This window comes from Homo sapiens, chromosome 7 (assembly GCF_000001405.40).
Source record: "Homo sapiens chromosome 7, GRCh38.p14 Primary Assembly".
Taxonomy (NCBI): domain Eukaryota; kingdom Metazoa; phylum Chordata; class Mammalia; order Primates; family Hominidae; genus Homo; species Homo sapiens.
Window position 1 is genome coordinate 66760952 of NC_000007.14, and position 20379 is coordinate 66781330.

At 41.3% G+C, this 20379-nt stretch overlaps 1 protein-coding gene across 40 annotated transcripts in view; it reads left to right on the forward strand.

Moving 5' to 3' along the window:
• The window catches only part of RABGEF1 (RAB guanine nucleotide exchange factor 1), a 156898-nt gene that overhangs the window by 106385 nt on the left and 30134 nt on the right, over positions 1 to 20379 (forward strand). For 22 of the 40 annotated variants that reach the window (NR_160287.1, NM_001367727.1, NM_001367725.1 and 19 more), the window contains 2 exons: positions 10932 to 11127; positions 14276 to 14442. The exons of 1 other annotated variant lie outside the window; for it this stretch is intronic. Coding sequence is in view for 28 of the 39 variants with exons in the window: in NM_001287061.2 (NP_001273990.1) it covers positions 10932 to 11127; positions 14276 to 14442 (363 nt within the window). In the remaining 11 variants the exon portion in view is untranslated. Of the gene's footprint in view, positions 1 to 174; positions 304 to 7879; positions 8075 to 9371; positions 9517 to 10931; positions 11128 to 12739; positions 12877 to 14275; positions 14443 to 20379 lie in introns of all 40 variants that reach the window. 17 more of the 40 variants (NM_001367746.1, NM_001367723.1, NM_001367745.1 and 14 more) reach the window with 9 other exon arrangements.

Consider the following 20379-nt stretch of genomic DNA (forward strand, 5'->3'; position numbering starts at 1 on the left):
ATTAAGCGTTTAGTACGTATCATTGCTTTATAGCCCTGTTATTCTATGGTCTCTACAATAACCTTATTCATTTAGTTTTTCTTCTTTCAACAAAGAATTGAGAACCTGTGATATGCCCAGTTGTGCAGGGAACAAAACCCCTCAAACTGTGTTTTTCCTCTGCTCACGCCACAGGAATCATCAACACAGAAGACTTCCATGACCATATGTGTTGGGTTTCTTCCCCTACACACCACACCAGCTGGGTGTCTTCTAGTTCACTTCCTGCACTATCTACCAGGAGATAGTGTCAGATCACACAGGGTGAGGACTCAGTCCCCATGAGTGCCCCTCCTAACCCCCATCAGTTGCAACTCTGGGCCTCCAGAAGTTCTAACTGACCAGCTTCAAGTTGGGGTTCCCATGGCTCCCTTTTTAGGTTCAATTAATTTGCTGAGGTGGTTTACAGAACTCAGGGAGATGCTTCTGTTTACTGGTTTATTATAACAGATATTGCAAAGGATCCAGGTAAAGGAGATGCTGGGGGCGAGGAATGGGGGAAGGTGCAGAACTTCCATGCCTTCCCTGGGTGCACACCCTCCAGGAACCTGCACTGTGTTCAGCTGTCTGAAAGCTTCCTGGGCCCAGTTCTCTTGGGTTTTTATGGAGGCTTCCTGACACCAGCATTCGTCCCTCAGAGTACAGAGCTGGACCCTCTCTGGGGAGGGTTTAAGACCAATCCAGAATAGAGTCCTGCCTTGGGGCAGGTAAAAGGAGGGTAGGAGAAAGAGAGGCTGCCCATGAAGCCTAACACACCCAGCCTTTTAACAAAAGCCTGGGGGTGGGCGTGGTGTCTCATGCCTGTAATCCCGCACTTTGGGAGTTTGAGGTAGGCAGGTCACTTGACGTCAGGAGTTCGAGAGCAGCCTGGCCAACATGGTGAAACCCCATCTCTACCTAAAATACAAAAATTAGCTGGGCATGGTGGCAGGCACCTATAGTACCAGTTACTTGGGAAGCCGAGGCAGGAGAATCACTTGAACCCGGGAGGTAGCGAAGGTTGCAGTGAGCTGAGACCTCACCACTGCACTCCAGCTTGGGCAACAGAGCGAGACCCTGTCTCAAAAAAAAACAAAAAAACAAAAACAAAAACATAAAATCCTAGGATGAGGGCTATGGTAGTTACCAGCCAGGGACTGTGGACGAAAACCAATATATATTATAACACCACACTGGTACTATTTGAGTCACTAGAAATGTAACAGTGGAGAAGGAAAATAAGGTCTCTGTCCTCAGCAAATTGCATTCTGGCAGTGAGGGAGACAGACCAATGGGTAAATAAGTAAATAAAAAATATTTATTAGAAATAGGACATGGAGGCTGGGTGCAGTGGCTCATGCCTATAATCCCAGCACTTTGGGAGGCCAAGGTGGGTGGATCACTTGAGGCCAGGAATTCGAGATCAGCCTGGTCAATATGGCGAAACCCTGTCTCTACAAAAAATACAAAACTTAGCCAGGCATGGTGCCACATGCTATAGTCCCAGCTACTCAAGAGGCTGAGACGAGAGGGTCGCTTGAGCCTGGGGAGGTCGAGTGTTGTGAGCCATGATCACACCACTGCACTCTAGTCTAGGTGACAGGGTGAGACCCTGTCTCAAGAAAAGAAAAGAAAAAAAGAAAAAAAAGAAATAGGACATGAAGGCTGGGCATGGTGGCTCACATCTGTAAGAAGTTCAAGGCCAGCCTGGGCCAGGTGGTAAGAACACGCCTCTACCCTCTCCTGCCACCCCCGTCCCCCAAAAGAATAATAATAAATAGGACATGGAGAAATGGCATTGGGTCCAATACGGAGATGAGGGTTGGGTAGGCTGGGGTAGGTAGTATTTCACAGAGGCTAGTGAAGGCCTCTCACAGTCTGATGTGAAAGCTTAGACCTAAACGATGAGAAACAAACCACCACCTGGACAGCAAGGGCCACAGCATTCCTCACTTTGGAATAGCATGTGCAAAGGCTCTCCCAACAAAGGGGTAAGTGGGAAGGATAGCAGTTTAAAACACTCATTTATTTTTTATTTTTATTTTTTTAAGAGACAAGGTCTCTGTTGCCCATGCTGGAGTTCAGTGGTGCAGTCATAGCTCGCTGCAGCCTCAAATTCCCAGCCTCAATCAGTCGTCCTACTTCAGCCTTCCTAAGTGCTGGGAATACAGGCGTGAGCCATTGCCCCTAGTCCACAGCACTCATTTATTATCTGAAAGTTCTGTAGATTAGAGGTTCAAGCAGGCTCCGCTGGGTATTCTGCTGAGGACCTCAGGAGGTCAGAATTAAGCATCGGCCAGCCTGGGTTTTTATTTGGAGGTGATAGAGAGAGTCTCCTTCCAGATGCACTCGTGTTGGCAGAATTCATTTTCATGTGGTGAAGGTCTGAGGTCCTCATTTCTTTGTTGGCTGTCAGCCAGAAGTCATTCTCAGCTTCTAGAAGCCACTCAAATTTCTTGGCTATTAGTCTCCTCCAGCTTCAAAACCATCAATAGTGCTTTGACTCTCTCTAACTTCACATTCTGTCTCTTCTGTTTTTTAAAAAGACAGCTTTATTGAGGTATAATTCACATACCATAGAATTCTCCCTTTTGAAGTGCACACTTAAGTGACAGCCATTACCACAGCCAACTTTAGAACATTTTCATCATCTCAAAAAGGAACCCATGCCCTTTCTCTTATCCCTCTTAGTGCTCAGTGACCACTACTCTATTTTCTGTCTCTAGATTTCCCTGGTATGGATGTTCAGATGAATGGAATCATATAATGTGTGGTGTTCTATAACTGGCATCTCTCACTTAGCATGTTTTCAGGGTTCACCATGTTGTAGCATATATCAGCACTTCATTCCTTTTTATGACCAAGTAATATTCCATTTTATGGATATACCACATTTTGTTTATTAATTCATCAGTTGATGTACATTTGGGTTGTTTCTGCTCTTGGACTATTATGGATAATGCTGATATAAACATTCACGTACAAGTTTCTCTGTGGACACATGTTTTTATTTCTCTTAGTCTAGGAGTGAAATTGCTGGTTTCTATGGTAATATTGTTTAATCATTTGAGAAACTGCCAGACTTCTCCACAATGGCTGTACCATTTTACATTCCTACAAACAGTATATGAGGGTTCCAGTTTCCCCACATTCTTGGCAACACTTGTTATTTCTGACTTTTTGGTTCTAGTCATCCTACTGGATGTGAAGTGGCATCTCATTGTGGTTTCGTTTTGCACTTCCTTGATGACTGATGATGTGGAACATCTTTTCATATACTCACGACTGTTTGCATATCTTTCTGGAGAAATGTCCATTCAGATCTTTTACCTGCTAAAAAAAATTGTTAATTTTTATTGAGTTGTAAGAATTTTTTATATATTCTGGATACAAGTTCCTTATTACATAAATGACTTGCAAATGTTTTCTCTTATTCTGTGGGTTCTGTTTTCATTTGATAAGGTCCTCTGAAGCACAAACATTAAAATTTTGTTGGAGTACAATTTATCTGTCTTTTGTTGCTCCTGCTTTTGGTGCCATATCTAAACATCCTTTGTCAAATCCAATATCATGAAAATTTTACCTCTACATTTTCTTCTGAGAGCTTTAGTTTTAGCTTTTACATTTAGGTCTTTGATTGATTCTGAGTTAGTTTTTGTACGTGGTATGAAGTAAGCATCTAACATCTAACATCGTTCTTTTGCATGTGGCTATCCAATTTTCCCGGCACTATTTGGTGAAAAGACTCTTCTTTTCTCCATTGAGTAGTCTTGGTACTTTTATGGAAAATCAGTTGACAGAAGACGTATGGGTTTATTTCTGGAATCTCAATTCTATTCCGTTGATTTCTATGACTTTCCTTGTGCCAGTACCGCGCTGTAGTAATTACCATGGCTTTGTAGTAAGTTTTGAAATTAGGAAATGTCAGTTTTCTTACATTCTTTTTCAGTATTGTTTTGGCCATTCTGGGCCCTTGTTATCTTCTGCATTTTAGAGTTCATGTGCTTTCATTGGGCCCATCTAGATATCTAGCATAGTCTCCTTATTTTAATGATTAGTCAACTTAATTATATCTGCAAAGTCCTTTTTGCAGTGTAAGGTGACATAATCACAGGTGTAGCACCAGAGAGTGAAGGTCATGGGTGCACAGGTCCTATGAGGCTTAGTTGGGTGAAAAGGTGGAGAATGATAGGAGCAGAGAGGTTGGAGAGGGATATAGGAAAGGGAGTTTCAGAAATATTACATAGTTTGCCTAAAGTTACATTTCCAGTACGTGGCAGAGCTGGGGTTGGAGTGCAGATAGGACTGATCTCTGTGATTTCATGGTCCACACCAAATCAGTCTTCTTAGACTCAGAGCTATTGTTATTGTTTCTGTCTAATACATAGTGAGCTTTTATTGTATGCCAAGTAATCCACAGAGCACTCCTTTATGTTTTTCTAGCTCTTAAAGAGCATCTGTACAAGTCTTTTGGCATAGATAATAGGCTCTACTGGAACCAGCTTAAGAAAAAACGACAAAAGTAGTTAGGGGACCAGGGTGTATGACTCAGAATCTGAGGATGGGCGTGCACGTAAACCTTAGCCAGGGATTGGAACTGGGAGATTGAAATCATTCAGGACGTACAGGACCTTCTACTTTTCTCTGCTTCTTGGGGTATGTCTATTTCATTCTGTAGACTGTCCTGATACTCAGACCACTTGATAGAAGGATCATGTCACACAGCTCCATCATTCAAGAGAACAGCCCCGACTTAGTCCCATTTCCAAAACTCGAAGCAAAAGACTCTAACACAGTTGGAGGCAATCAGCTGTGATCCTGAATTGGGGGACCATTCACCTTATACAAATATAGCTGCTGCCAGCTTATCTTTGTGGATTGAGAGGACAGTTTCCTGATAACATGGGAGGTTATGTGCTAGGCAGACTTCCCAAACTATGTTCATTTTAGTAACATTGAGTAGTACTATCATACTTATAGTACAAAATTTAAAAAAACTTAATTGATCTATACTTAAAAATAGGTATCTTCCTTTTGCCCATTTCTCTTGGAAGGGAAGAAAAGGGACATCAGGATGATAATGGCAAGATTAGCTCAGACTTTCAAAATAATTTGAAACCCAGGACTTGGCATACTAAGTATAGGCTTACTTGAGCTCAGGAGTTCAAGACCACCTGGGTAACGTGGCGAAACACCGCCTCTACAAAAAAATAACAACAATTAGCCAGGCATGGTGGCTGAGTGGTGGAGTATTGCTTGAGCTCGGGAAGTCAAGGCTGCAGTGAGCTGTGATCACGCCACTGCACTCTAGCCTGAATGACAGACCCTGTCTTCCAAAAAAAAAAAAAAAGGAAGCTTAGTGCTTAGTGATGTCTCTGCCACTTACTACCTTTTTGATGGAATAAGTCATGATTTCTTAATGTTAGTATCTTTATCTCTTACTATAGGATGTAGTAGATGGTCTTTAAAAACATTCTAGGACTCTATTCTTTTCTTTTTTTCTACTTGTTATTTTCTTGCTTTCTACCTCAGCCTTATCTACTATTTATAAATGGCTGGTGTCTTAGATCTAAATCCTGACCTTGGAGGGCTTTAACCTTGTAGAGGAAGTAAACAGTAAACTTGAGAGTTTTTTCTAATTAGATTTCCCTCTCTCTGTCAAGTCTCATTAAATAACTATTAAAGATCTGATCTCTAAGGTAGATTACCACCCGTCGTCTTTCCATTCCCACTGTTACCTCTTATTTATTTATTTATTTATTTATTTATTTTCGAGACAGGGTTTCACTCTGTTGCGCAGGCTGGAGTGCAGTGGTGCGATCTCGGCTTACTGCAGCCTCTGCCTCCCAGGTCCAAGCGATTCTTGTGCCTCAGCCTCCTGAGTACCTGGGATTACAGGCAAGCGCCACCATGCCTGGCTACCCACTGTGTTACCTCAAGTCCTCTAATTGTAGTTGTCTCTTGGTCAGTATCTGTGTCTTCTGTTCTGTACTTCTCCCTAATCCAACCTGGAAATTGCCTGTCAAGTTTCTTTTTTTTTTTTTTTTTTTTGAGATGGCGTCTCCCTCTGTTGCCCAGGCTGGAGTGCAATGGCATGATCTTGGCTCACTGCAACCTCCATCTCCCCGGTTCATGCGATTCTTGTGTCTCAGCCTCCCAAGTAGCTGGGATTACAGACGTCTGCCACCATGCTCAGCTAATTTTTGTATGTTTAATAGAGACGAGGTTTTGCCATGTTGGCCAGGCTGGTCTCAAACTCCTGCCCTCAGGTGATCCACCCGCCTCAGCCTCCCAAAGTGCTGGGATTATAGGTGTGAGCCACTGTGCCCAGCCGAGGTTTTTTTTTTGTTTAAATCATAGAGTAAAATTGATCTGGGAGGAGTATAATGGTCTGCGAATTTTTAAATTTTATTAGATTTATGTAAACACCTCCACAATCAGAATACAGAACAGTTTCATCACCCCAAAAAACTTTCTCGTGCTAATCCTTTATAGTCACATTCTTTCCTACCCCTAGTTCCTAAATGGAATCATATAGTATGTAAACTTTTAAGATGGCTGCTATGGTCTGAATCTTTGTCTGTCCCCCAAATTCATATGTTGAAATTCTAAACCACAAGGTGTTGCTACTAGGAGGTGGAGCCTTTGGGAGGTGATTAGTTCATGAAAGTGGAGACCTCATGACTGGGGCTTGTAAGTGCCCTTATAAGAGACTGCAGAGAGCCTAGCCTGTCTCCCCCTCCCACCATGTGAGGACACAGGGAGAAGGTATCTTCATTGAACCACCAGACACCAACATCTGTTGACTTCCTGATCTTGAACTTGCCAGCTTCCTGCACTGTGAGAAATAAATTTCTGTTTTTTATAACCTACCCAGTTTATGGTATTTTGTTACTGCAGCCAGAAGGAACTAAGATGCTGGCTTCTATCAGCATAAAGCCTTTGAGATTCATCAAAGTTGTTGGGTGTACTGATACCTGTTGTTGTTGTTTTCCTGAGTAGCATTCTGTTGTATGGGTGCACCATAGTTTGTTTATTCATTCACCCATTGAAGGATATTTTAGTTGTCATTTTTTGTCATCACAAATATTGCTACTATAACCGTTTGCGTATAGAATTTTGTAAATAGCAATTTTTATTTCTCTAGAGGAAATACCCAGGAGAGGGATTGCAAGCAAACGTTTCAAACCTTTGATGTGAAGGGAGACATTATATTTACTGTACTGGACAGTTAACAAATTGTCTTCTGCTGTGGAAGGAGCTGTCGTCTTTCTCTTGTAAGGATGTTCAATATACAAACATCCTTGACTGCACAGTATGTAGCAAAGGCCTCTCATGGAAATGTGGGACACCAGTGTATATATCTTCTTTGTTAAAGTGTCTGTTGAGGTTTTTTGCTCATTTTTAAATTGGGTGGTTTGTTTTCTGACATCTGAGTTTTGAGAGTTCTTTATACATTCTGGGTATGTAAGTTCTTTGCCAAATATGTGATTTGCTGCAAGTAGTTTCTCCCATTCTGTAGCTTGTCTTTTTGTTTTCTAAACAGTTATTCCCAGAGCAAAATGTTTTGTTTTGTTGCCAGATTTGGGATGCAGGTTCTGTGGGCTGTGGCTTTAATGTCAGTTCATTGTTCAGAGTTTTGTAGTGCTGTTTCCATCTGTTTCATATATGTGCTGATCTGAGACCTGCATAGTGGTCTCTCCATTAGTTCCAATTTGGAAGCCTTTGGTACGGAATAGCGTCAGATCCATGCATATGCAGCCTAGGGGTAAGCCTAGAAATTGCTTTCTTGAGTTCTCCTCAGCAATTTTTCCCACACTTTTTGTTCTCAAAGGGCTCATATTTTCTTTCTTTTGTCCAGAAAACTGTGGATTTAGTTACTCCACTCTGCCATGTCTTTCCACCACTGCCTGCACATTTGAGACCAAGGATAGAGATTGGGAAAAATTGATAGTTCTCCTGCCTCAGAGTTTGGCTCCTGCACTCTCATTTCAGCCATAGCTGCAGACAAAGCACACGATTGCTGGGCACTGTGGCTCAAGAGAAGGAGGAGATGGTAAGTGGGGGGATCCCCATATTCTCTCTGGCTGTTAGGAGTTCCCTTTCACATGGCTGGAGCCCAAACTAGAGGAGCTTTCTCTGTGCTGTGGGGCCCATTTCCAGGTTGGCTGGTGGTATTGGTTGGAAGAAAGTGGTAATCTCTTAGACAGCTGGGTGATACTTCCAATTCTGGTCTTCCCCACTTCTCCATTTTGCTTTTCAGAATCCTCAAAAATAGTGCACAGTGCATACTGTCCAGATTTGATAGCTGGATGAAATCTGTGAGGCCTCTCTCCCCAGCAACTGCAGTCGCTGTGCTCAGTTTTTCTTCCTTGTTTTCATTTATGCCTGACTTCCTTCTAGCTGTCACCCGTGTGTCTGCACACCTTAATGTTCAGCCAAAGATTGTTGTTTCAGACAAAGATTGAGATTGCGCTCAAACATCTCAATCTTTAGTTAGGCTTCCACTCTGATCAGCAGAGCATGTGCATACACAGAGGAGACACAGGAGAACCTTGTAAAAATAAGAGTGAGGTTAGAGGGGAGGGCTTGAAATTTGAGTTCATTCCTTGGCCTGGACGTAGATGCATTGCAGAAAGTGGAAGTTTTGTCCATCTTTACAGTTGCTTTTGCAGGAGAGGATTTATTTTCCTTCTCACTTAGTCATGCTAGAAGACAGAACTCTACATCTCAAGTTTTATGTCTTAAGATAGAGATCTTATCATGCTTTCCCCTTTTCAGGAGCTTTCAGTGGTGACTTTCAATCCAGACTCTGTAGCTTAGAGTTTTAAAAAGCCATCATGATTTGACTTCCCACCTAAGTTGTTTAGTTTACCTTCTGTCTGTGCTACATCATTCATATTTTACACTTGCCTTCTTGCTTCTGAGCTTTTTGTGAAAGGCATCCTTCCTGTCCAGAATGCCCTCCCTCTTTCTGTCATCCTTCCAAGACCCTTTCAACACAAGGCTCTTTAAGGTCTATCGCCAGCATCCCCAAGTGGTCTCTCTATACTCCGTAAGTGAGAATTCCTATGTCTGTTGCTCCCTAACAGTTTCCTAACACTTTCTCTTTTTCTGCGTTTTTCAGTCTGCCTGTACTTTTGGTTATGAGCTTCATGAGGGTAAGGACATGTTCTATGAGTTGCATCACCAGTGCCATCTAGCTCAATTCTCTGCACACAGTTGGCACTTAGTAAATGTTTGAGTTAAATTAATAAGATCCCCAAGATATAGGGCTTAATTTTATCTGCACATGTGAGTCTTCTTGAATGAATGGTGTGGAGTGCTGCTTTTTTTCTGTGCTTGTTTGGCAGTTTGTTTATATGGAGAAGAATGAAGACCATGTGGTTTCAGTTTGAACGGAAATTGTTGCATAGCGATTTACCATACAGCTGTGAGACTGAACAAATGAGTTTAAATATTATACAGTAGAAAAGAAAACTGACTTTGGAACTTAAGGTATTATTTCAATTTTTTTCTCTTCTCTTCTCTCTAGACAAGGCCTCGCTCTGTCACCCAGGCTGGAGTGCAGTGGTGTGATCATACCTCACTGCAGCCTCCAACTCCTGGGCTCAGGCAATCCTTCTGTCTCAGCCTCCCGATTAGCTGGGACTACAGGCATACACCATCACTCCCAGCTAGTTGTTGTGTTTTTTGTAGAGATGGGATCTTGCTGTGTTGCCCAGGCTGGTCCTGAACTCCTAGCCTCAAGTGATCCTCCCACCTTGGCCTCCCAAAGTGCTGGGATTACAGGCATGAGCCATTATGCCCAGCCTGGGTTTGTTTTTTTTTACAGTAGCCATCCTAATGGGTGTAAAGTGATATCTCATTGTGATTTTGATTTGCATTTCCCTGATGATTAGTGATGTTGAGCATTTTTCACATTTGTTGGCTGTTGGTATGTCTTTGGAGAATTGTTTATTGAAGTCCTTTTCCCATTTGTTAATCGGATTATTTGGGTTTGTTGTTGTTGTTGTTGTTGTTGTTATTGAGTTGTAGGAGTTCCTTCGTATTTTAGATATTAACCCCTTATTAGATATATGGTTTGCAGATAAGTTCTCCCATTCTGTGTGTTGTTCCTTTTTACCCTGTCAGTTGGTTCCTGTGTTTTGCAGATATTTAATTTTTAAAAATTTTTTATTTCTTTTGAGACAGAGTCTTGCTCTGTCACCCAGCCTGGAGTGCAGTGGCGTGATCTTGGCTCACTGCAGGCTCTGCCTCCCAGGTTCACGTGATTCTCCTGCCTCAGCCTCCTGAATAGCTGGGACTACAGGCGCCCGCCACCACGCCTGGCTAATTTTTTTGTATTTTTAGTAGAGACAGGGTTTCACCGTGTTAGCCAGGATACTCTCAATCTCCTGATTTTGTTATCCGCCCTCCTCAGCCTCCCAAAGGGCTGGGATTACAGGTGTGAGCCACCACACCGGCCTGTGCAGACATTTTAAAGTTTGATATAATGTATTTGTCTGATTTTGCTTTTGTTGCCTGTGCTTTTGGTGTCATATCCTAGAAGTCATTGCAAAATCCAGTGTCGGGAAGCTTTTCCCCTAAGTTTTTTTTCTAGGAGTTTTCTAGTTTGCAGCCTTTACATTTAGGTCTTTAATCTAATGTGAGTCCTTTCTTAATTTTTTATTTTTTATTTTTTATTTTGGGCAGGGAATAAGTCTTTCTTTAATATGGCTGTGTCAGGAATTTACTATATTTAACATTCTTTTTTCTTCCTTCCTCCTCTTTCTCCCTCCCTCCTTCATTCCCTCCATCCCTCTCTTAACAGCTTGAAGATAATGGAATCACTCACTTTTTGTTCATAATTGGTAAGATTTTATTTAGTAGAATGATAATTCATTTTCAACAGCACTTTCTTGTTTGTTCAGTGGTTAGCAGGAAGAAGATGAGCCTTAAGTCTGAACGCCGAGGAATTCATGTGGATCAATCGGATCTCCTGTGCAAGAAAGGATGTGGTTACTACGGCAACCCTGCCTGGCAGGGTTTCTGCTCCAAGTGCTGGAGGGAAGAGTACCACAAAGCCAGGCAGAAGCAGATTCAGGAGGACTGGGAGCTGGCGGAGCGGTAAAAGGACTTAACTAGGGGCGGTTGAACAGTGACGTGACTGGATACATAGTTCTGTCACCGTCTAAATACATTTTTTCACTTCTGCTTTGAGCTATCAGCAAGTCAGTTTAATATTAAGGAAAAGGATGTTTTCCTCTCTTCTTCTCAGTCAGCTTTTAATGAACAGCTTTCAGTAGTTTCTTCATTTTGTGTTTGTCTTCTGATTATTTTCTTTGGGTTGTGTTAGTTTTAGTTCTCAAATGTAGACAATAAGCTCCTTGGAGTGGAAGAATGGAGATAGGCATATTTCCTGGTGAAGATTAAATGAGCTAATAAATTTGACGTACCCACTGCAGGGCTTGGAAATGGCACTCATCAAGCATTATTTCCCTCATTCTTTTAATATATATTTAGCATGGCATCTAGCTCAGTGATAAAACACAGTAGTAGAAATCTGTTGACTTGTATACATAGTCATTGCATTGTAGAAATTTAACTTATATTTAAAAATTAGGTTAGCATTTGGTATTATCCGGAAATATAATGATGTTAAAAATTAAACGATGGGCCGGGCGCAGTGGCTCACGCCTGTAATCCTAGCACTTTGGGAGGGTGAGGCAGGAGGATCATCTGAGGTCAGGAGTTCGAGACCAGCCTGACCAACATGGTGAAACCCCCTCTCTACTAAAAATATTAAAAAAGTTAGCCGGGCATGGTGGTACGCATTTGTTATCCCAGCTACTTGGGAGACTGAGGCAGGAGAATTGCTTGAACCCAGGTATCGGAGGTTGCAGTGAGCTGAGATCATGCCACTGCACTCCAGCTTGGGAGACAGAGTGAGACTCTGTCTCAAAAAAAAATAAATAAATAAATAAATAAATGATGGGATGGCTAGTGAGCATAGGAACTAATAAAATGCCATGAATAATGTTAATTCTTTGCCAGAGCATTCTAGAATTCTAAAACTGCTTCAACAGAAGAAAGTCAAATGGAATTCTGCCAACTCCTCTAGCTAGTTGTTTGTTTTTTTTTTTTCATCCAGTCAGCCAATATTTGTTGAGTGACTCCTTTGCTGTCATTTGTAGTGAACTCAGAGAATTAGAAATTACACATTGCTTTCAGTGACTGTGTTCAATCAAAGAGAGAAAATTTTAGCCGAGAACATGAATGATCTCCTCAGGGTTTCCACTGCATGCCTGATGCTGTCAGTAGCAGATCCTGTTTCAAAAACAGAGTAGAGGCCACTAGGCACAAACTCCCTCAGCTTCCTCCCCTCACCACATAAAAATGTCCTAGTACCTTTATATTAACTTCTTGTCTGTCCCAGAGAAAGAGGGGTCCCGATTCCACCCTCAGACTTAGCACCTCCACCTGTGATTTTTGTTTCTATTTCTTACTGCTTTTAATTGTGACCCTGCTAAATCTCTCGGAAAGCTTGTAAAAGCAGTGATTGCTGGACCTTACCCACAGAGTCTCTGATTTTAGTGGCTTGGGAGTAAGACTAGAGAATTTGCATTTCTGACAAGTTGCCTGGTGATGCTGCGCTGCTGTCTGGGGAATCATACTTGGAAAATCATTGTCTTTTAGATAGTGCTTGTGCTTTTTGTTTGTTTGTTTGTTTTTGAGACAGGGTCTTGCTCTGTTACCCTGGCTGGAGTGCAATGGTGCAATTTCAACTTACTGCAACCTCTGCTTCCTGGGCTCAAGTGATCCTCCTGCTTCAGCCTCCCAAGTAGCTAGGACTACAGAAGTATGCCACCATGCCCAGCTAAGTTTTGTATTTTATGTAGAGACAGGGTTTCACCATGTTGCCCAGGCTGGTCTCAAATTCCTGAGCTCAAGTGATCCGGCCGCCTTGGCCTCCCAGTGTGCTGGGATTACAGGCGTGAGCCACTGCACCTGGCCTGTGTTTGGGAATTAATACAGGTGGTTCACATGCAGCTAATCCAAAGCCAAATTTATTGCTTTTATTTATTATTCTCCGCATTCTGAACATTTTCCTCCTAACCCTTCTCCTGAGTCAATTAATGGCATCACTACTTACCAAGTTAGCTAAAAAACCTTGGTTTCATTCTTGATTTCTCTTTTATCTCCCATGCTAGCTACAACTTGACCAAGTTCTATTTCTTCCAACTCAGAAAAGTCTTTTGAATTTTACCTTTTGTACTCCTATTTTCCAGGTGCTTATTTTCTTTTACTTAAACCTTTATAATATACTCTTACTTCTTGTTCCTGTCTCTAGTTTCTCTACCCTTCAAGTTGTTCACACAGCTACCTGCATGATCTTTCTAAAGTACAGATCTGACAGCGATAACTCCTTGGATTTACAGTCTTTCTTGCTTCCCTACCACATGATGAAATCCAGAATAGTGGGCTCAGCAATCAAGATTCCCTACCCTCTGGAGCCTTCCTGTATATCCAGCATCACAGTTCATCACACGCCCAGTGCTCTGGCTACATTCAGCTTGTTGTGAAGCAAACCACAGGCTTGCACATTTGTAGTTCCTTCTTTCTGGAATGTCCTTTCACTTAGAATCCTATTCAGCCTTATTAGTCAGGTGTGGTGGTGTGCGCCTGTAGTCCCAATAACTTGGGAGGCTGAGGGATGAGAATTGCTTGAACTCGGGAGGCAGAGGTTGTAGTGAGCTGATACCATGCTATTACACTCCAGCCTGGGCGATGGAGTGACACTCTGTCTCAAAAACAACCAAAAAAAGGATCCTATTTATCCTTTAAGACCTCACCCAAACATCACCGTTGTAAAGCCTCGTCAGACTCCCCCAGCAGATTGAGTTGTTCTTTCCTGTGTTCTCACAGCACTCAACTTTTACTCTCTGATGTAGCAGCTGTCCCATTCTGTAGCAGTTGTTTACTTACCTTTTTGTCTGTTCCAGCCTTGAGCTTGTTAGGGAAAAGGATTAGACTTGATTTCTTTCATGTAACCCTAGAGCAGTAGCTGAATGAGTATGAGAAGACCCCATTTGAAATCTGTAGTGCATGAAGAGCCGTCCATCCTGTAGCAATGTGAGACCTCAGACTGATTTGGCATATTTAGTCTCTAGGTCTAAAATCTTTAGATCCTCCTGAATTAATGGAGTAATAACCTTCACATACAGAGAAACCTTGGAGAATATCTAGGTCATTCTAATCCTCTCTTGAATTGCAGACTCCAGCGGGAGGAAGAAGAGGCCTTTGCCAGCAGTCAGAGCAGCCAAGGGGCCCAATCCCTCACATTCTCCAAGTTTGAAGAAAAGAAAACCAACGAGAAGACCCGCAAGGTTACCACAGTGAAGAAATTCTTCAGTGCATCTTCCAGGGTCGGATCAAAGAAGGGTAATGTTCTGATACTCTTTTTTTTCTTCTCTGCCTGAGTGAGACACAGAGGAGATCCCCAATGCTCATAAGCTCAGCTTTGTAATTTCTGTCAACTTTTTGAGAACATCAGCTCAGATTTGACACTGAAATTGGGCTTGAGGGTCAGACAGTATATGAAATCAATACTCTCTTTGGTTGAAAGACATTGTGTTTTAGAGAAATTTGTTTATAGGAGGAATCAAGAGAATTGAAATAGGTACTTTTGCTTATGAAATTCATCCCCATCCAAATGACTATCTCTTTGGATGTTTTGGTTTTTGTGCCTTTATTTGTGGATCCTGGTTTGTTCTGTGGTATAATACCCTCACTGTTCATAGCTTGTCAGAAATGGTGATTTCTAGGCTTGATAGTCATCTGAGAGAGAGATTTTCTGCCTGAGAGCTTATTTGAGAGACAGCTTGTGTCTTGAGGAAGTGTATTGAGAACATATAGGAAAAGGCCCAAGTTGGGCTCTTGGGGGGATGAAAGTGAGCCATAGTAGCTATTTTCCAGTGCATGGATTTGTATGTAGGTGATCATATTCACCCTGCTTTTTAAAATGCCATATAACCAGCAAGAGGATTGTCACTTAAGTCACAGTTGTTCTACCATTGAGCAGACTAGCTAGTTGAAGTGGCCCAACATGAAGCAAGAAAGACTCTTTGTTGTTAGGCCTCAGTCTGTCTTTGAAAATTTATGTTGGTACTCAGAGTTATGCAGTCAAAGCGAAATAATGAGGGAGACTGGGAACCAACACTGATGCTGTCAGAAGACCTGTTCTCTGGGAGCCCCCTCACTTGCTCCCCAGTTCCTACCCTGGGGTAATTGTAATGAGGTCTCCCCTGAAGGCCGGGGAATGAATAATAAGACAGTGTTACTTCTTAAGATACTTGCTGGTCTTCTAGGTTTTGTGACTTTTGCTGTTTCCTTTTGTTTTATTAAAAGGAAATATTGCTCATAACCAAAAACACACCTCTCTTTAAGACATGGATACCAGACCTGGTGCGGTAGCTCAAGCCTGTAATCTCAGCGCTTTGGGAGGCCAAGACAGATGGATTACCTGAGCTCAGGAGTTTGAGACCAGTCTGGGCAACATGGTGAAACCCCGCCTCTACAAAAAATAGAAAAATCATCCAGGCACAGTGGCATGTGCCTGTAGTTCCAGCTGAGGCCAGAAGGCTGAGGCAGGAGAATCATTTGAATCTAGGAGGAGGAGGTTGCAGTGAGCCGAAATCGTGCCATTGCACTCCAGCCTGGGTGACAGAGCAAGACCCTGTCTAAAAAAAGGAAAGAAAAGAAAAAAGATTGATTACATGATTAATTTGAAGTTGTTTCTTGGTTGGCTGCCAGTTGTAGCAATTTTATCTCTACGAAAAAGGGGGGAAAAATTAGTACCTGCCAGAGATTAAATAAGAATGTATTGGGCTCATGATTTATTTATTAGGAGGTGGAATAGCCAGGTAGTAAGGTGACTTTGGAGTCACTCCTGGTTTGAGCCCTAGCTTTGTATTTACCAGCTTTGTGACCTTGGACAGACTAACCTCTCCGAGTCCTGTCCACACTGAGGGACAATAATACCTACCAGAGGCACGTGATGAGGATTCAGTGAGTTAATGCATGTAAAGAGCTTAGCACAGTGCCTGACACACACAGTAGATCTCCAGTAAGTGTTAGCTGTTTTAAAATGCAAGTTATTCTTCTGATAGAATTATCTTGCAGGGAGCACAAGGGCATTTGCTATGAAGAATACTCATTCCTATTTAGCTTAAGGTCTGTTTCTTGATGATATGTAGTGAAATGATAAGTATTTATGATAACAGATGAAATAGTAAAACAAGTATAAAATTATCAGCTCCAATAGCCTCATTTTGCAGAGGACAGTGTGAAAGTCCATAAAGGTTAACTAATTTACCCAAGGTTGCACAATGAGTTTGTGCATGAGAACTCATGTCTCCTAATTCCTGGGTCAATATTTTTCCATTATATTCCTTTATCCAATGTGTATACTTCAGAAGCCCAGGTTATTTAATATATATCATAAATAATATATATATATGAAATTAAGTTTCTGTTACTTAAGTACATAATTGTCATTTATATTTGCTAACTCTCCTTGGTGGTTTTAAAAACCTGTGTCCCAAAAGCCTCTGTACAGTGTGCATTATACTATTGAAAGAAAATTTACAATTCAATGCAGAGTCTGTACTTTAAAAAGAAACATTTCTGGAGCTGGGTGCAGTGGCTTCTACCTACCTATAATCCCAGCTACTTGGAAGACTAAGGTAGGAGGATTACATGAGCCCAGGAGTTAGTGGCTGCAGTGAGCTCTGATTGTGCCACTGCACTCCAGCCTAGGCAGCAGAGTGAGACACCAACATTAAAAAAATTAATTAATTAATAAAGAATCCAGGTGAATTTTGTTTTAAAAATATGTATGCAGAATGATTTTTACCTTTGTTCTTGTCTCCCCTCATCCCCCATCTTTTTGAATGATAGATTTGTACTTTAGATTGTTTGTTCTTTAGTTGCTTTTTGTCTGTAGAAAGCTTTGGGGATAAAGACCTTAAAGTATTTTAAAAATTCATGTTAGAAAAGAAGATTCCATTGTATCTTTGTTTCACAGATCACTTAATATAACTTAGCCAGGTAAATTTTGCATTTCACACTGATTACTTTTGTTTGGCCATTGTGTTTGGATAAGATTAGCCTAAGTGCCGTTTTAATGTATTAGGTCTAGACTAGAAACAGACTTTTTGGATTCTGTATTCTTGAATCTTCCTTAGTCCATGATACCCTTGCTGTTGGTGTTTTACTTGCTTCTGTTAGTAGCATAAAGGAAAGTTTTTATGCCATACGTAGCAGCTTGGTAGCAGACAAAATACAAATAACCTTCTAAGGAATTTGAAGAATATCTTCACATTCTTTTAGAGTTGGATACGCCTTCAGAGAAAGTAAATGGAATGTCTTGACTGTAAAGACTCAGTTAAAGTGTTTTAGTCTCTACAGTCAGGGTGAGTGAGCTGTATAGAGGAAGTCATAGTGGTTGACCAAGCTGAGATACTTGCTTATACATTCCAAAGTGCCCTTTTCTTTCAGAACTCCTATAATGTTGTCATTCCAAGTAGAATCTTGTGTACCTCTTTCATGAACGGATCTGAAGACGGTGATTCTCTAAAGCATATCTTTTCATTTTTAGAGTTAAAATACCAATACCACCCAGACCTTAGAAAGTAAACCTATTATTCATTAAAGTGAATCAGGGCTTCTTGGAGAAGTGACTGATTCTGGGGCTAGAGTAGGGAAAAAAGGGCCCCTTCAATATTTTGGGGACATTTCAGAAGATCCAGAAGCCAGCTTGGAGGGGTTTCCACTGGCCAAGTCTGGGATAATTTGAATGTCAAAATAAATAAGGACAATAAGGCCAGGCACGGTGGCTCAGGCCTATAATCCCAGCACTTTGGGAGACCAAGGCAGGCAGATCACCTAAGGTTGGGAGTTTGAGACCAGCCTGACCAACGTGGCACAACCCCGTCTCTACTAAGAATACCAAATTAGTCAGGTGTGGAAGTGTGCGCCTGTAATCCCAGCTACTTGGGAGTCAGAGTCAGGAGAATCGCTTGAACCCGGGGAGTGGAGGTTGCAGTGAGCTGAGATCGTGCCACTCCAGCCTGGGCAACAAAGTGAGACTCCGTCTTAAAAAATAAATAAAATAAAATGAAGAAATCTATAAATAAGGACAATAAATGAAGTATAACTGATTGAACAAAAATCATAATCCGTGTGTTAATTTAGTAAAATAGAGAAATACGGCTGGCACAGGGGCTCACGCTTATGATCCCAGCACTTTGGGAGGCCGAGGCAGGTGGATCACCTAAGGTCGGGAGTTCGAGACCAGACTGGCCAACATGGTGAAACCCTGTCTCTACTAAAAATACAAAAATTAGCTGGGGGTGGTGGCACGTGCCTGCAATCCCAGCTGCTTGGGAGGCTGAGGCAGGAGAACTGTTTGAACCTGGGAGGTGGAGATTGCAGTGAGCCAAGATCGTGCCATTGCACTCCAGCCTGGGCAACAATGTGAGGCCCCCATCTTTAAAAAAAGAAAAAAAAATTAAAAAATTAGCTGGGCTAGTGCCTGTAGCCCCAACTACTTGGGAGGCTGAGATGGGAGGATCATTTGTGCCTGGGAGGTTGAGGCTGCAATGTGCTGTGATCATGCAACCGTACTCCAGCCTGGGTGACAGAGCGAGACCCTGATTAAAAAAAAAAAAAAAAACACCAAAAACACAAGGTGACTTTTAAGTTTAGGAGCAAGCACTTGCTGTTTGAGCCCTAGCCAAAATTATGAACTGTAACGTGGATGAGGTTGTTCTTTTCCATATTTCCTACTTCTTCACTTCTTTCATCTTACACACGGAATCCCTATTGGCTGTTCAAACATAAGTCGCCTCCTCCCTGCATACCGAACACCTGAGCTGTCTCTCACTTTCCCCTCTCTAATCCAAACTTCTGGCCTCTTAGTAGGGATTGATTTTTAGGAAGCTTGGAGAAAAACAACCAAGTGTTGATTTTAGTAACTTGTATGATCATAACTAGCTAGTAGAGTTAATCCTCATTTACATTTTAAAAGGGTTTTTTTTGTTTTAAAGCAAAAGTGTGTCTTTGGAAAAGTATGTGTGGGAGGGAGGCATGTTGTAAGCAAAGCAATAAAGGAAATGAGTAGGATTTTCCTGTGTTTTGACTGGTGTACAGACCTCCAAAGTCAGAGGAGTTGGTGTTCTTCTGAAGAGTCTTCAGTCCTCTGGCTTACTGAGGTAGTTGTACTACCTCATAGTCAGTTGTTAATAGTCAACAGCTCAGGCTTTGGATTTAAGCGCACAGACCTGGGTTCAAATTCCATTCTTTACTATGTAAGTGACTGCAACATTATTCAAGTTACTTAACATATTCAAGCCTCAGCTTCCTCATTTGTAAATATTGTAAGTGTACAACCTGATAGACTTGTGAGGATTATACAAAATAACATTGTAAAAGTACTTAGTGCATAATAGGCATTATCTATATGTAAGTTACTAACATTATTATTTTGTCAGATGGAGTGTTATGTTTTTGTTGGGTTGAGTGTTCTATCAGAGTCAGATAGGTCAAGTTGGTTGATAGCATTGTTCAAGTCTTCTGTCTTTACTGACTTTTTAAAAATCACCTCTCTGTCAATTACTAAATGAGGAATATTGAAATCTCCAAATACTGTGAATTTGTTTCTCCTTTCAGTTCTGTCAGATTTTGTTTTATGTGTTTTGAAGCAGTGTTATTAGTATATATATATTTAGGGTTGCTGTGACTTCTCGAAGAATGAACCTCTTTTTTATGATGAGATGCCCCTTTTTTGTTCTTGGTAATATGGTCCATGTTCTTAAGTTTACTTCGTCTAACATTGGTACAACCACTTAAGCTCTTTTTCATTGTTTCAGAGTATGCTTTTCCTTTCATTAGTATTTAACATATTTGTATTTTTATATTTAAAGTTAATTTCTTACAGACAGCATGAAGTGGGGTCTTGTTTTTTTAACCTAATCTGATAATCTCTGACATTTTATCAGACTGTTTATAGCACGTATATTTAATGTGATTTTTGATAAGGGAAGGTTTACCCCTGCCATCTTGCTGTTTGTATTTATCCCAACTTGTCTTAGTTCCTTTTCTCTTCTTTTCTTGCCTTCTTTATGACCACATCTTTATCTCCACTATCAGCTTGTTAGCTATACCTCTTTGTTCTGTTTTGTTTTTGTTACTGGTTGTTCTGGGGTTTACAGAATACATCTTTAACTTACCTACCTTCAAGTAGTATTATATCACTTTATAGAAAAAAGAAAAAAAAATTAAAACAGTAGTGTTATACCACTTTACATAAAATAATCT